We start from the raw sequence: 15,714 nt of genomic DNA, 5'->3' as shown, positions 1-15,714 counted from the left end.
AGCAGGAGAGACAGTCTCTGACATCCAGATCCACTTTGAAAGGGTTTGTCTCATTAGGCCTGCTAAATATTCTCCCCTTGATTACTTCAGTCCAACTGATTTGGAACCATAATTGTATGTGCAAATCTGCTTCTCTTTTGTTATATAACAATCATGGCAGTGACAGCTATCATATGTGTAGCTTTCCTCTGTAATTAAGGAAGGGGATAGAAAAGGTATATACACAGGGGGCAGAATTTTTGGAGGCCATCTTAGGATTCTGCATACCACAAGAATTAATCTAAGATAGTTTAAAAGTTGTAACCACAATTTCACTTGTAGAATTCTTCTTGCCTATATGGTACAGAACAAAGTCAATAAGTTGTTGCCCAACTTATATAATTATTTTCAATAACCTCACAAAATTTTCTAATATCAACAGTCTTAATGGTTTGATAGCCATTAAAATCAGTGTCTTACAAAGGGGAACAACAGACACCGGGCCCTACCTGATGGTGGAGATTGGGAGGAGGGAGAGGAGCAGAAAAAGTAACTAGTAGGTACTCGGTTTAGTACTGAGGTGACAAAATAATCTATGCAAGAAACACCTGTGACATGAATTTACCAATATAACAAACCTGCACACATACCCCTGAACCTAAAGTAAAAGTTTAAAACATAATAAAAGTAGAAGAAAATAAAACAAAATCAGTGTCTTCATTCAATTAAAAAAAATTACTGAAATGCTAAGTCTAAACCTTAGCTCTAGTTTTGTTATACTTAAGTATTTTGGAGATGTTGCCCAACTTATATAATTTGCAGAAGTAATAAAATAACACAGGACAAATGAACACATCTATGTTTAGGCCACCTCAGCTGAGGATCGGAAAAGTCATCTGCATATCCAATCATTTGAAGGAAGTTTCTACTTAAAAAAATACTTGCTACCCAGGACAGAGGAACAAGAATGAAAGTGTGAGACGTAATGATCAGGAAGAAACGGGGCCATGTTTCCCTTAAATTTCAGTTTAAAGAAGAGTAACAAAAGCAGCAGCTTTTGTTTTTCAGTTACAGGCAAGGTCAAAATGAGGTGCAGGGAAGTTGGTAAGGGTTACCAGGGCCAGCAATATGGAGTAATTTCTGGGCAGACTCTGATCCATACTAAAAACAAACTCTGCTCTACCCTTGCCAGAGAGCCCAAAATATTCTCCCACAGGAGTCTTTATACATTTCAGAAGGCCTGGCAGACTTCTCAAATGTGTTTCTGAATCTCTGTGTGTGTACATGTATGTGTGTGTGTATGTATTTATGTGTATACATGTACGTTTGTATATCTGTGACTGCATGTGTGTATATGTTTGTGGGTTTGCGTATGTTTTATATATTCACGTATGTACATGTTGTGTTTTTAATCTACAAGTAGAATACCTCTATTCCCCCAGTATTCATTCTGATAAAACCACACAAAAGTGGATATCATCCTTATAAGCTTCCTGTCGAAGTATCAACACATACCAAATACAAAGAAAAAAAAACAACTCAGCACAAAGTGTTCAAAAAAAGAAATAACAGCAGAAATTGAAGTTTGAAAGCCACAAGTCTAGGAAAACACATATTTTCTTAAGTTGAAGGTTTTGCTTTGTTTGTATTTCCATTTTAGTGCTTTTCTCTTTTCTTTTCTTTTTTTTTTTTTTTTTTTTTTTTAACTTAAAAGCCCCTGTGGCAGGACAGTTTGCTGCTGAGGAACTTAAGACATTGAGAGGTTAAAACTGGCAGACTGAGAAAAGCTTGTGGCTCACAGACCTATTTCTTTGGTTTACCAAGTGGTTTAAGAAAATTGAATTTTAAAAAACCGGGCATGTGCTCTCAAACTTAGCACAATCCTCATCACTCTAACACCTTATAACTAAGAGCTGTCATTTACTGAGGTTTCCTGGCTGTGGCAGGAAGGCGCCCCAACGTGTGATCCTTACCTTATGGGACGAAAGATGATGAAGAGACAATTTTCAGGTTAACCTCGTTAATAAAAGTTTGTTTTTAAGATTTTTATTACTCATGAAAATAAAATTATAAAGATGACATATTAGATCCAGAGAGTATAAATATTATTTTATGTATCTCCATTTTACCCTTCGTTCTTTCCTTCCGTGGTTGAAATGAGATACTTATAAATTGCGCTCTGTGGCAGACAGTTTGCGTGTAAGACTCTAAGAAGCACTTTCTTTTCCTCAGGGTCTGATCTTCCATCCAAACACTTAATATCTTTCTGATGATGACTTTGATTTTTAATTCTATGAGAGAGACTGTGCAATTTGAATACTTCAGATGGAAAAAAGTTGCATGTAACCATTTTTAACGCGTTCAGTCTGCCACTGGGGACCAGGTGTTTGTCAGCCCTCTTCTGCTGTTCACAAGGACCCAGGGCTTAACTTTCTGTTCTAAGGTACTGCGTGCCAGCAGAGAACTATGGTCTGGCACTATCAGTCCCTTTCACATATGTCTGAGCTGCCTTCCTCAGACAAGATTGTGAGTGCTGGGCTTCTTTTATCTCTCCTGTGGCTGCTTTGGCAAAGCGTTTTTTCCTGCTGTTTTGTCTTCCTTTTCCCTCCCCATCTCCTAGTTTCATCTTTTTGTGATCATCCTCAACCAGAATGACTTAAAATCCACATACACTCAAAATGAAATTCTTGCAGCTGGGGGACAAGGAATTCAGAAGTGAAAGTGCATGTATTTTAATGTCATGTACTGGTAAGCAGAGGTGCGGGAGGTGTTGCTGAGCAAAAACATGCATGACAACACAACCAGCGTCCCCAAAATGGGAAGAAGAGCTGATACGTTGCTCGGCACCTGTAAACGTGCCTGTGAGTCAATGGGCCACTTTGTAGCTGTCATTCTTTATCCGTTTAAATATCTTTCACATCCATTGGCACATGCATGATTTTCCCTACCTCTCAGCTCGCCTATTTCCCAGGGCTCCCCCTCGCAGGCTCTCTTTGGTTCTGAATGTACCAGCAGTTCCCTAAGTGTGAAACCCACCTTTCTTCTTGTCTGGGTTCTGTACAGCTAAGTTTCATACTTGACCATTCTGTATATATGTCTTTGTTTTTTAAGGTAAAACTGGTGGCATTCCTGACTGAATACCCTTCACTCACAGGTAACATTCTTTTTCATTAATATGATTGTGTTCTGTGTGTGTATGTATGAGAGAAAAAAAATCATATTAATAGAATTATAGGTAGTATTTTCAGGTGAAAAAACACACCATTAGAAAAACACTTAAGGAAGAGTGTAGGTGATTCTTGACTTTCTTCAAATGATGTCACGCCCTTCCTTGTTTCCTATTATGCACATGTTTAGGGGCAATGATATTTATATTCTTTTTGGACAAAATAAAAATATATATATTTGGCCTCTAAGCTTCTGAGTACTCTACTTCCATAACTTCATCATTTTGTAGCATTTGCCTGTACAATATGTAATAAGTTTGGGTTTGGACATTAATAAACTTCTACATCAACTTTTAACCAAGCTACTCTTTTTCCCATAGTATGAATACCACGGGTATTTGTGTTGGGAGAAAACCCAGGCCGGGCGTGTGTGTGTTTGTGTAGGCCAACTGCATGTGGGTGGGATAATAAAAACAAAACCTTAGCATAGTGTACCTTAAGAAAAAGGTGGATCAAGAGAGATAATGTGTGGTATAAATTAAAAATGACCTCAGGTGGAAATTTTGTGGAAATTACAAAAAACATAAAAACAATCATCTGTCAGCAGATAGTTTACTATAATGGTGACCTCTCATTCTTCACATCTTAAACTATCTTCCTATTATTCCAGAGCACAACTCACATTTGTGACATTCTTTGTTTATTTACTGTGGAACCATAGTTTTCATAAGGCAAATGGTATTAATCGTGTTTCTGCCAACTTTATAAATTGAGTAAACCTTTGAGGGATTAAGACCATTAAATTGTCAACTAATTTGAGCCCAGTTCCCCAATACCTCAAGTTAATGAAAAAGCTGTTAAAAGGGAATTATATACAGTGCCTTTGTTGGTTTAAATTATTTATCTTTTATCTCTATCTTAACGAGCAGAGAAGTAAATACGAACTTTTGCAGGAGGCAGTGTGGAACAGTGGGAATGAGGAGTGCTATGGGACTTTGTATATCTGGTCTGGAAGCCTGTTTCTGGTACGTACAGCTAGGTGAGTTGGGCAAATTACTTAAACGGTCCAGATCTCAATTTTATTAACTATGAAATCACGTAATAAGATCTAACTTGAAAGGTTGTTAGTATCAAGGCTAATATAACCCTTTGGTTGTTATAATGAATAATAGATAAGTATTATTCTTACTACTATTTATTTTTTGGAAAAATCTATATTATTAATTTTTCGATTCTATGAGAACCAGTAAAGAACATTTATGAATAGAATTACTTGTGTAAGAGTTCAGCCTGCTGGGAATCATTTGTAATCCTTTATCCTTTAAACACTCTTAGTAGTACCATGCCAACGTTAGCATAAAATCATCATTCTTCCACATGAATTTTTGGGCCATTTTTGGCTCTTATCCTTAACTGAACAGCAGAGAGGCCCTTAACCTGCCTTTTCTAATGTCATTATTCTTCCTTAACAGGCTTTCCAGTTTGTTGTACCTACCTTAGCCAGACCGTAGGAACTTTTTAATCCATTTGATGTCTTAGTAAGATCTGATGATGATCATCCTAAAAATCTGCCCTCTCTTGATAACTGAGACATTGCCTTGGCATTTTACTGAATTCTATCAATTCTACTTCTTTATTTAAAGATGGTGTTATGAGCATTTAATGTAAAGATCTTATCGTAGTCACTGGCTCAGAATAATTGCTCAAAAACTGGCATATATTACTATTATGACATCATCATCATTATCATCATCACTTAATTTCTTGGTTGGTTTTTCTTCTTCCTGACCTATAGTAGTAATGGCCTTCCAAGTATCCATTCTTGATCTTTTAGTCTTTGTCCACTCCCTCCTTTTTATGAAAATCACCCACTCAAGTAAGTTGGACTATCTTATCTAACCTAACTCTCTAGCCTCAAATACTTACTAAGGTTTCAGTTTTCATTTCTATCTGCTTAAAAGATCTTTACACAAATAGGATATTCTTTCACCATCACAAATGGAATATGTGCGCACTCACCTAGTTGCTCTTCCAAAGTGCTTTATCTGCTTGCATGCTTGCTTACCACCCCCAGCTAACTTGGCTATCTTCGGGTAATCCTGCTCCTATCTCTGTCAAAAGACACCAAGACAGTATTTTTCTTGCATTTGTCTTTTCATCTTTAGCGAATCAATACCATTGTCTTCTAATTGCCTCCTAATGGAACCTTAATCTGCCATGAAACCTAAGTCCAATTCTTCACTGATACTCTTATAAGAATGATTTCTAATGTCTTTTTTTAATTTGCTTGTTTGTTTCAGAGCTTACAAACCTCCCTTATGCTGTTCATTTTACATTTAAGTATATCTATGTAGTTTCCAGATTAATAATGTCTGAAACATTTATCTATCCCAACTTTTTCCCCCTACAACTACTCTGTATTAATGTAGTTTCAATCAGTCTGGATCCTACCGTGCCAGCTTAAAATCAGAATGAGTAACTATTGATTCTAGAACACTGGCCCATGCTTTGACTCCTTATGTGGAAATTCTTCCACATATTCTCTTTACCTATCTATGTTTTGTGTTTCCTTCAAGACAGCTAAATATTCATTGTTTTATAAAGCTTTTCCTTGAGAGTATGGTTAATTTTGCCTCTCTCTTTTCTAATTATCACACCTTGTTAAGTACAACATAGGTTCATTGTATGCTATCTCTAATTATAGCATCATCTGGGGTAAATGCTTTTATGGCCTTATAAAATGTACTTTTGGTTACTCCCCAAATATTCTTAATTATCTCTCTCTTCTTTGTAATTCTCTGTGCCAAAATTCAGGCATACCAAAGTTCAGGTTCTTTTAATTATTTTCAAGAACTATCACCTCTGGCCTCTTCATATTCAGTATTTGCTTTTCCTCGAATCCATCCTGAATGCTATTGACAAGTTTATGTTTCCAAAGCTAAAATCACGTCATTTAAAAAACCTGTTTATAACAAAAGCGACATTCATAGTGGTCTCTTACCTGTTTAGTAAATATTCCCTTTGGTTGTGAACCCTGGATCTTTCTTTATTGTCCTCCAAATATCTAAAATAACTATGCCAATTGTCCCAATCTCTAACTCCTGGAATTCCATTATTCAAAATCATGTGTCAGCAGGCTTTTCTAGATTTTTTAAATTTTATCCTTTAACATTCTCTGCTTCTGGGATTTGGTCTTTGATTTTTCCTTAGTTACACTTCTTGTTTAGCCATCCGAACTCTTAAATCAGGATCAATTACAATTGCCTCATAAGAATACTTGATTTCCAATAATATCCCACCTCAGTTCTTCCTAAATTCTACTGAAGTAATGATTATGCCAAATAAGACCTTTTTGATTCTCTTATTTTATTTCCCATCCTGCTTGGCTTCAATGCTTGTTTGATTGTCTGTCTTTTGCATCCTGTTGGGCCATGAAAAACTCAGTCTATGCTTTCGTCATGATCTATTGCCACAGAAGATGGAGATGTACTGTTCAAACTATGAGAATTAAATATATCATCATTATCATCATTGCATATTTTCCACACAAATGAATTATATGAGTTCTCTTAATACTCTAGGTAGCTGCAATTAAATAATTTCATCACTAGAAAACATATTATAGATCAACATACCCATTGTTACTTACAATAAGGCAATCTCTTTAAAAATGTTTGTTGAGCTCCAGATACTGTGCTAAGTATTAAGAGCATAATGATAAACATGACAAATTTCCCGTTGCTGAAGAGCTTTATATAGAGTGAAGGAGACATAGAGCTATTATGCTATATGATAACATCAAAATGCATTCAAAAACAGGAAGGTTGAAGGAAAAGTCACGGAAAAGACAGACAACAGATGAAGGAGAGAGGAGTAGATGAAATATTGCTGTGAGTGTGACCATGAAGGATGGGATCTCTTCATTACGATGACGTTTGCTGTGGATGATAAAAAATATATATTTTTAAAGTTCTCCTAAAAATAAAGTTCTCCTAAATTTTGTATTTTATCTTATAAAAATTTCTCTGCTATGCTCATATGCTGTATCCCCATGCATATTTTGAAGATATAATTCTAACTCCCCTCATTTCAATTAGATTTGCTTCTTTTGAACACATGATAAGCTTTCATTTTCATATTCTACTCGTTAAGTTCCTTCGTCAGCTTCTGAAATTGAAAGCATTCATAATTATAAGCTTACTTTGTGGCTTAGATGGCAAGGATGGGCATTTTTCAAATTAAAAAAATCATCTGCCTGGATAAATATCAAACCTAGAATTCAATCTCTAAATTACAGGCTGTTTGCAAATCGCTGCATGCCTGTGTGTTCCTCTCTCTAACTAACACCTTTCATGGATGGCATATGTTTTCCTCTGAAAATGAAATAGATAGAATGGATGTTTGAACCCACTGAATGGAATGAATCTGTGAAGATGGTATGTTTCATGGGTCAGGACTACCCAGATATTCTAGTGTTCATTTGAGATCTCAGTTACCTTCTTGAATAAGTAAGTAGGTACTAAAGTGAAATTTTGAGATGAGAGTCAAAATTTTGAGATGAGAGTCACGCCAGCTGGCCTGGATATGAATCCCAACTTTGCCTCTTACCAACGGTGTGATTTTGTGCAAAAGAGTTAAACACTCTGCCACTATATAGTATGCCTACCTAATAGACTTTTAAGATTTAATGAGTTAGTAACACCTATATTCTGACTCCTAATAATAATTTAATACCTTCAAAATACTTTTATTGTGTTCACTTTTCAAGTTCCTGTTCACTAGATTTATTACTCAGATTTTTCTTCCATCAGTACATAGGTATCTGGAGCTATAAATAGTTTTCCTGAGTTTTTCTTAGTTCTTTCTTCCTGAGAATTAACTGACACATTTAGAGCAATGAATACATCAATATTCCATAGTTCTGTCAGTAAAATTGGTTTATTTTTACCTTCCACAGACCATCTTATGGCCTATTTTCTTTCACTCTCTAAGTAAAATGTTAACTTTTGCTTAAAGTCTATTAACTTATTTATGATAGTAGTTATTATTTACACTAGAGTCTTTATTTAAATCTCCTTATTTCTCTCTCTTGATGAATTGAATGAATTGCCTGAAGGAGTGTAGGTTGTCTTCTCTGTATGGTTCATGTAGATCATAAGAAACTTTGACTGAATAAATTTAGAAGCAGCAAGGAAGTCACATTTAGTCTTGCATAACAAATAACAAGTCATGGTTCTGCAGTTGGAAACCCTTTGGCATGGACCAGATAACTTGCCAAAGGAAAAAAATTAAGTTTCATATTTTCCTTGAATGGCTCAGAAAAAATATATATCTAAGTACTGAAATTCTGCTGTCATATAAACTTAGACATAAATGAAAAAATGTACATTTCACTTGGAACATTCTAAGTTGTTAATATATAAAAAGATACTTAAAGTTTTTTCCTTATTACTGCAGCTCACTAAAGCATACCTATCTCCTCTCTCCAAGAAAAATATTTTCATCAAAAAAGGTTTAACAAAAATGCTGTAGGATGGCAGCATTTTCACGTAATGTGCCAACTCCATCCCTGTCTTGTAAGCTCAGATGTTTACAGTGCGGTAATCATATTAAACCACAACTCATAAAGTGAAAGAGCTAACGGAAAATCTCACTTGTATTTCTGAAACAAGCCAACTGTTTACACTTACATTTTTAAATTAATAGGTCATAAAGCAGCATCACAGAATTATGTGTATTACACATATTTTCTGTAGAAAAATGCAAATCATCTTCCCTTTTTGAGTTTATTTGGAATTAAAATCAAAGCATACTATGTACTTTTTCCATTAGAAATCTAATACAATCATTTTATACTTGAACTTTATTTTGGTAATAATTGTATACTCACTACTCTTATAAGGGAGAACAAAATGTATTAGCATGTCTATCCCTAATCTAATATTATGGAAGAGTAAGGATTTTTTTTTCTTTTTCTTCTCTTTTCTTTCTTTTTTTTTTTTTTTTTTTTTTTTTTTTTGTTTTTGTTTTTGTTTTTAAATGAGGTTTCGCTCTTGTTGCCCAGGCTGGAGTACAGTGGCGCAATCTCAGCTCACTGCAACCTCTGTCGCCCGGGTTCAAGCTATTTTCCTGCCTCAGCCTCCTGAGTAGCTGGGATTACAGGCATGCACCACCATGCCCGGCTGATTTTGTATTTTTAGTAGAGACTGGGTTTCACCATGTTCGTCAGGCTGGTTTCGAATTCCTGACCTCAGGTGACACACCCACCTCAGTCTCCCAAAGTGCTGGGATTACAGGCGTGAGCCACGGTGCCCAGCCTAGGATATTCTACACACAGAAAAGTAAACCTGAAAGATTATATACCAATATGTGAATTGTACTTGCTCTAGGGTACCAAATCATGGGATTTCACCTTATAGCTTATACATTTCAGTATTCTCAAAATGTTTTTACCTTGAACATATGTTACTTTAGAAATTGGGGTTAATATATAAAAGGATGTTTTAGTAGGACATTTAAAATTTGCTTCCTCATACTGAAATTCACTAAAACATAACTATCTCCTTTCTCCAAGAAAAATATTTTCATCAAAAAGGTTTAACAAAAAATGCTGTAGGATAGCAGCATTTTCATTTAATATGCCAATTCCATCCCATAAAAGGAGAAGCAATGTCATGCCTTTTAAAATATATTTCATTCTCTCATATTGTCATGGGCTGTATGCCATCAGAGATATAACCTTAACATTTGAGAGTACTTAGCGTCCATTTAAACTATGGTAAAAATTAATTTAACAACACATAACTTTCAGTCAAGCTAGATGTGCTCAAAGACAAATCTCTGACAAAGACTGATGAAAATGAGTTCAAATTTAAAGAAGTGAAATATATTTATTGTTGGCTGTTCCTTTGAGGACATAAAGACTATTTAATATGTTTTAAGAAAACTAATTTGTTTTCAACCAAAATGTCCCAGGTTTTGATTCAATTTCTTTCTCCTTAGAATATCTTAAGATACCACACAAACTCTTAAGTTTGTTTGTCCCTCAAATATCAGTTTAGCTATTTCCTCAGTTAGTTGTTTCTACATATAGTGAAACAATGACACTTGATATTAATTTCTTGCTCACACTTTAGCACATAAGCTCTAGCAGCTCTTTTTCCCTTTGATTTATTTGATATGAGCTTTTCTGAAAGAACTCAATAATGGTGATTGGAAGCACCTACAAGGGTGAGAAGAAGCACCACATTTCGTAAGACCTAGGTTGAAACTGACACAGTGGTACTGGCTACAGGGGGGAGGTGTGTTCTTCCCGTGGAGGTGGGGTTGGAGAGTAGACAGCAGATTGTTGTGACTAGTGGTTGAAGCTACTGCAGCTATGTCTACTACTGTGCTAGGTGCTGGAGACAGGAGAAAATGCAGTGTCATGATAAATGCCATACATGAAAGACACATGAGAATTATTGTAGAAACAGACAGTCAAGGACTTCCATCTTTTGGAAGAGTTGGAAAAATCTTTATGAAATCAATAATATTAGAACAAGGTCTGGAGAAAATGTATGAGTTCACGAGAACAGATAGGTGAGGGTATTGTGGTAAGAAGGCACAATACATATAAAATATGGAAATACAGAGTCACAGAAAACAGCATCACATGAAGAAAACATGTGAAGTATATGAATTGAGAGTGTATTTCAAAGGGAAAAGTACCAGGATTGAGACTGGAAATATAAACCTAGAGAGGCCTTGATTATAATGTCAAAATATATGGAATTTATTGTGTGGATTATTATGAGTTACCTTATAATATATAACTACCACAAAATACAGTGGCTGAAAACAAACATCTAACAGCATAGCAAACTCATAAAAAATTTACTGGCTTAACACAACACTATTTTTTAGTTCATGATTTTGTGCATCAGCCATAGGGACTGGGTTCAGGGAGGGACTTCTCCTGGTCTCACCTGGAACTCTCGTTTGTCTGCAGTATTACTGGCTAGGAAGGAGACCCATTTGATTATGGACTATGTGAGATCTCATCCTCCAGGGGACTAGCCCACGCTTGGTTCTATGGGGAAGGCGGAGATCCCAGGACAGCAGGTGGAATTCGGCAAGGCTCTTGAGGCCTAGAGTTGGAATGTGTATATCAACAGCTTTGTTGTTGTATTCCATTGGCCAAAGCAGTCACAAGACCAATCCAGAGACAATAGATTTTATTTCTTGATATAATAGTAAGAGCTTCAAAGTCACATTACACAAGGAAAGAAGCTAAAAGGAGGGAAAAGTTGTATCCATTTTTGCAATGTATCAGAAGGGACCTTTGAATAATTTGATAGGTACAGTGGGTATAAACTGTGTGCTGGATTTAGATAAGATGATTTCAGATCTCATCACCTGGCCTCCAGGTAACAAAATGCTGAAAGAAGAAAAAAAAAATAAGAAATATAGAAACTGGAAACATCAGAACAACTCTGATTGTCATAAAAAGAGGATAATAGAAAATACGTCTTCCTAAGTGACCCTAAAAACCCATTCTTCTTGTTTCTCCTGCTGACCAAGCAGAAAGCACTCCCAGTTAAAAAAAAAAAATCTTCATATCAAGTCTCATATGCCAGTAATATAATAAAATAAAGACTAATTTCAATTAAAAATTATTTTCTTTAAAATAAAAAAATTCAATGTTAACAGGCATTCATTATACATGCATAAACCATAGTTAGTATAAATGGAGAATAGCTGACTAATTTGGGAACAATATAGCTAGCCAGAAGCGGCAGGAGAATGAACCTAGTTTTGAGACACTGATCAGAATGTAAATCCATTTTTTATTGTTGTTTTCTAGAAGTGGAAGAACTAAGAAAAAGGAAGATCACTATCACCAGCTGAGGCAGGGAGGGGCAGAACCCAGCACTGCTGAGATCATTTCCCTTTAGACAGGCCACAGCTGGGTGTCCAGGGGTTGCTCATGAGGGTACAAGTGAGGAGTGGATGGAGCCAACGGAGCACAGAGACCTTGGCCCTGGGCATGGTTAGACTTTTTTTCCCAGGGACTTTTAAAATTTCAGTGGTAGTTATTTGCTTCAATGAGGCTTTAAAAGACTTGTGCTATTTTCAAGTCTTTTAAGTCTCTTTTGTTTGGTTTGATTTTTCTCTTAAGTATGCCCCTTCTATACTTTTATATAAAACTACCATGTACTGGGAAGAGCATGTGTCGAGAGTGGTATCCATCCCTCAGAATAAGCACTGTGTCTGAGAAATTGAATGCTTGTAAGTTGAGCTGAAATATGCTCCTCCCCCATGTGTCTATTGACATGCAATAGATAGGTGGTGGAGTGGATGGAAGTAAGAGATGATGTTGAGTTTGAGGTATGTGGTCTCTCCCAGAGCAAGGAGCCATAGCAGAGACTGAGAGGGCACATAGAGCTAGATGTGGAGACTGACACAGGGTGCCTGTAACAAAGAAGGTGGGAGAAAAGTATCCTGTCCTACATGATAGGTTGACCCAGAACAGGGCTTGTCCTCTCATTGTCCCTGACATCCTATGGAAAGAAACAAAACCAAAGCAAGTAACTTACTTTCATAGGAACTTCAGGGAATATCAGGCCCTAATTCTCTATTAAAAATGACAGAGTATGGCCAGGTGCAGTGGCCTAGGCCTGTAATCCCAGCACTTTGGGAGGCCGAGGCAGACGGATCACCTGAGGTTGGGAGTTCAAGACCACCTGACCAACATGGAGAAACCTCGTCTCTACTAAAGATACAAAATTAGCCGGGGTGGTGGCGCATGCCTGTAATCCCAGCTACTCGGGAGGCTGAGGCAGGAGAATTGCTTGAACACGGGAGGCGGAGGTTGCAGTGAGTCGAGATTGCACCATTGCACTCCAGCCTGGGCCACAAGAGTGAAACTCTGTCTCAAAAAAAAAAAAAAAAAATGACAGAGTATGCGAGGTTATTTCATAACCTACCTGCTACACCTTCCTGCTCTTAGAATGTATGAGAAGGTGGATGGGACTAAAAAATCATGCAGACAAGCAAGTTTATGTTTTGTAGTTGTAGCCACATCCTGGAACAGAGTCAGGCTTCCTTGGCTTAACCTGAACCCCCTCATTCTTCCCAGACCCTGTGTAGCCTGTTTTCAGGTTTTTCTTCTCCCTTTCTTCCTCTCTGAGCCCTCCCCTGCATAAGCTCAAGATGGACGGTGGCTGTGTGTAGCAAAGCATGCACTTTTCTCTTTGGTAATAATGAGCAGACTAATGAAAAAATAAATTTCAACCATCACAGCAAATATGATGAGCAGTCACTCATTTCACACATCTGAGCTACCAGATTTCTATTTGTGTAGTTCACATAATCAGAAAAAAAAATATTGTTAATACAGAAAATGTGAATCAGCAAGAGAATCTGGTGAGGCACATTTTCTCACACACTGAGTAAGCCAGTGAATTCACCTGGTGCTTCCGATCCCACTTTCAGACCTGACCATCCCATTCTCAAGAGCTGTGTCAGGGATTTTAGCTTTTCCTCTTGCAGCTTTATTGTTTTAAGACCTGCTCCTCACCTTTAAGCAAACATTTCCACATCCTGCCTAATGTAGACACGCCTTTAGAGATAATAACTGGAAATTACAGTTATTTTGTGTCATCAGTCTTGGTGTTTGAGATATCAACTTATAAAATTTTAGGATACAATAGCCAAAAAATGTTAAATGTAATTATCATTGGTAGCTATATGCAAATTTTTAAACAGAATATAAATTTTATTTAAAATATAATAAAATAGGAATTATTTAGATTAATTGTTCTTAAATAGGTTTTTAAACAATTGTATTATATAATTGGTGAATTAGACTACACGATTATTAAAATTATAAAGGCATCTTATTAAATGACATTTCAGCCAAAGAAGGCAGAAAATAAATGGTTACTGAAAATGTGTCAGACATAGCGATAGCTTCCAAGCTAAATTCTTCATTAAGAATAAGTTTAACTTACACTATTTTCAAGTTCAAATAAAGTACTTGTTAGCTACTAATGGACAGAAGATTGATTTGAACTCAGAAGTCTGTGGGCCCAAAATACGTACATCTTCCACTGTTACTTTTGAAGATTATTTTTAACACAATGCAGCAAGTAGAACATTTCTGAAAATCAATTTGGTATCAATTTGATCTTAAGGTGTGTCTAATATGCTGAAGGAATATTCCTCTTCTGGAACCCTCTAAACACTGTATTGTACTAATACTTGAAAAAGAAAACCAGGGTTCCCACTTGACTCTATTATTAATTTGCTGTGCTATCTTGGGAATACAACTTATTCACTAAGGACCCCTTCTGTGTATTACTAAAGAAGCAAAATTAATGTACTCAGTTTTACAATTAAATTTTTATTTGTTAATAAATACTATATAACTATAATACTATATAATAATACTATATAACTATATATACTATATACTATATATACTAATAATACTATATAACTATAGTATTATTATGCTCATATTTTGGTTTAAGCATTAGAGTAAGAGAGAAAATGTATTTACATTTCTGTAAAACAGATTTTCTTACACAGAAAACCTATATCTAAACTGAGACTCTTCTTCAGTGACCAAGAAAAATAAAGGTTTGCATATAAGGACATGAGTGTGATAATTATCCTAGCTAATTAGCAACCCTAAGTTGGGTAGATGGTAGATGGCAAGTTCTGATGAAAGGTGATCAAAGCATAGGTCTAACAGATTGGAAACTTATAAATTTAATTGATAAACTTTCCTTTTCAAACATAAAATAATTATTTAATTTTTTTAAATATGACAATCTACTTGATCACTATATGGGAAGCCATCCCATACTCACATTGATATCTTTGTGGATTCATCTCAGATGTATGTAGGGAGGCATCTTCCATTTCTTGATCCTAGCGGTCCCTGTTAATCTTGTTTACCTGTTACCCGAGTTTTGCACAATAAAGGGCATATGTTGATTGCCTTTTCCCACTCAAGTTGATATTTTCCTGGCTCTTCAAATTCTGAGTAATTTTGATTTGTGTCCTAAACAATAGATATTTGAATGGTATCAGATTACTCATTAGAAAATGTCAAGACCAGAAGGAAATGGAACAATATTTTCCCAGCTTTATTGAGCTATAATTGACAATAAAAATTGTTTACATTTAAGATATATATAATGTTTTGATGTCCATACACATTGTGAAATGATGACCACAATCAACTTAATTAACGTATCTATCACTTTACATAGTTACCTACTTTCTGGGGGGGAGCAATATTTTTAAGTTCTAAAAGGAAAGATTATCAACCCAGACTTTATCTATGTAGTGAAACTATCTTTAAAAAATGAAAGTTAAATAATGAAATTAAGAAAATTAATTGCTAGCAGATCTTTACAAAGAGAATCATTAAAGGACTTTTTGTTGTTGCTGTTGAGACGGTGTTTTGCTCTTGTTGCCCAGGTTGGAGTGCAACGGCGCAATCTCGGCCCACTGCAACCTCCACCTCCCAGGTTCAAGCGATTCTTCCCCCTCAGCCTCCTTAGTAGCTGGGATT

General features: G+C 35.9%; 1 long non-coding RNA gene across 1 annotated transcript in view; it reads left to right on the top strand.

Annotated features, from left to right (window-relative positions):
- The window catches only part of LOC105372762 (uncharacterized), a 54,823-nt gene extending 45,976 nt beyond the window's left edge, over positions 1-8,847 (top strand). The window contains exons 2-3 of the long non-coding RNA XR_007067830.1: positions 3,091-3,133; positions 4,100-8,847. This is a non-coding gene — a long non-coding RNA (uncharacterized LOC105372762). The remainder of the gene's footprint in view (positions 1-3,090; positions 3,134-4,099) is intronic.
- The last annotated feature ends 6,867 nt before the right edge of the window (positions 8,848-15,714 follow it).

The sequence above is a fragment of the Homo sapiens genome, chromosome 21 (assembly GCF_000001405.40).
Source record: "Homo sapiens chromosome 21, GRCh38.p14 Primary Assembly".
NCBI lineage: Eukaryota > Metazoa > Chordata > Mammalia > Primates > Hominidae > Homo > Homo sapiens.
Note: the sequence above shows the minus strand (reverse complement) of the source record. Positions and strands in the feature narration are given on the sequence as shown.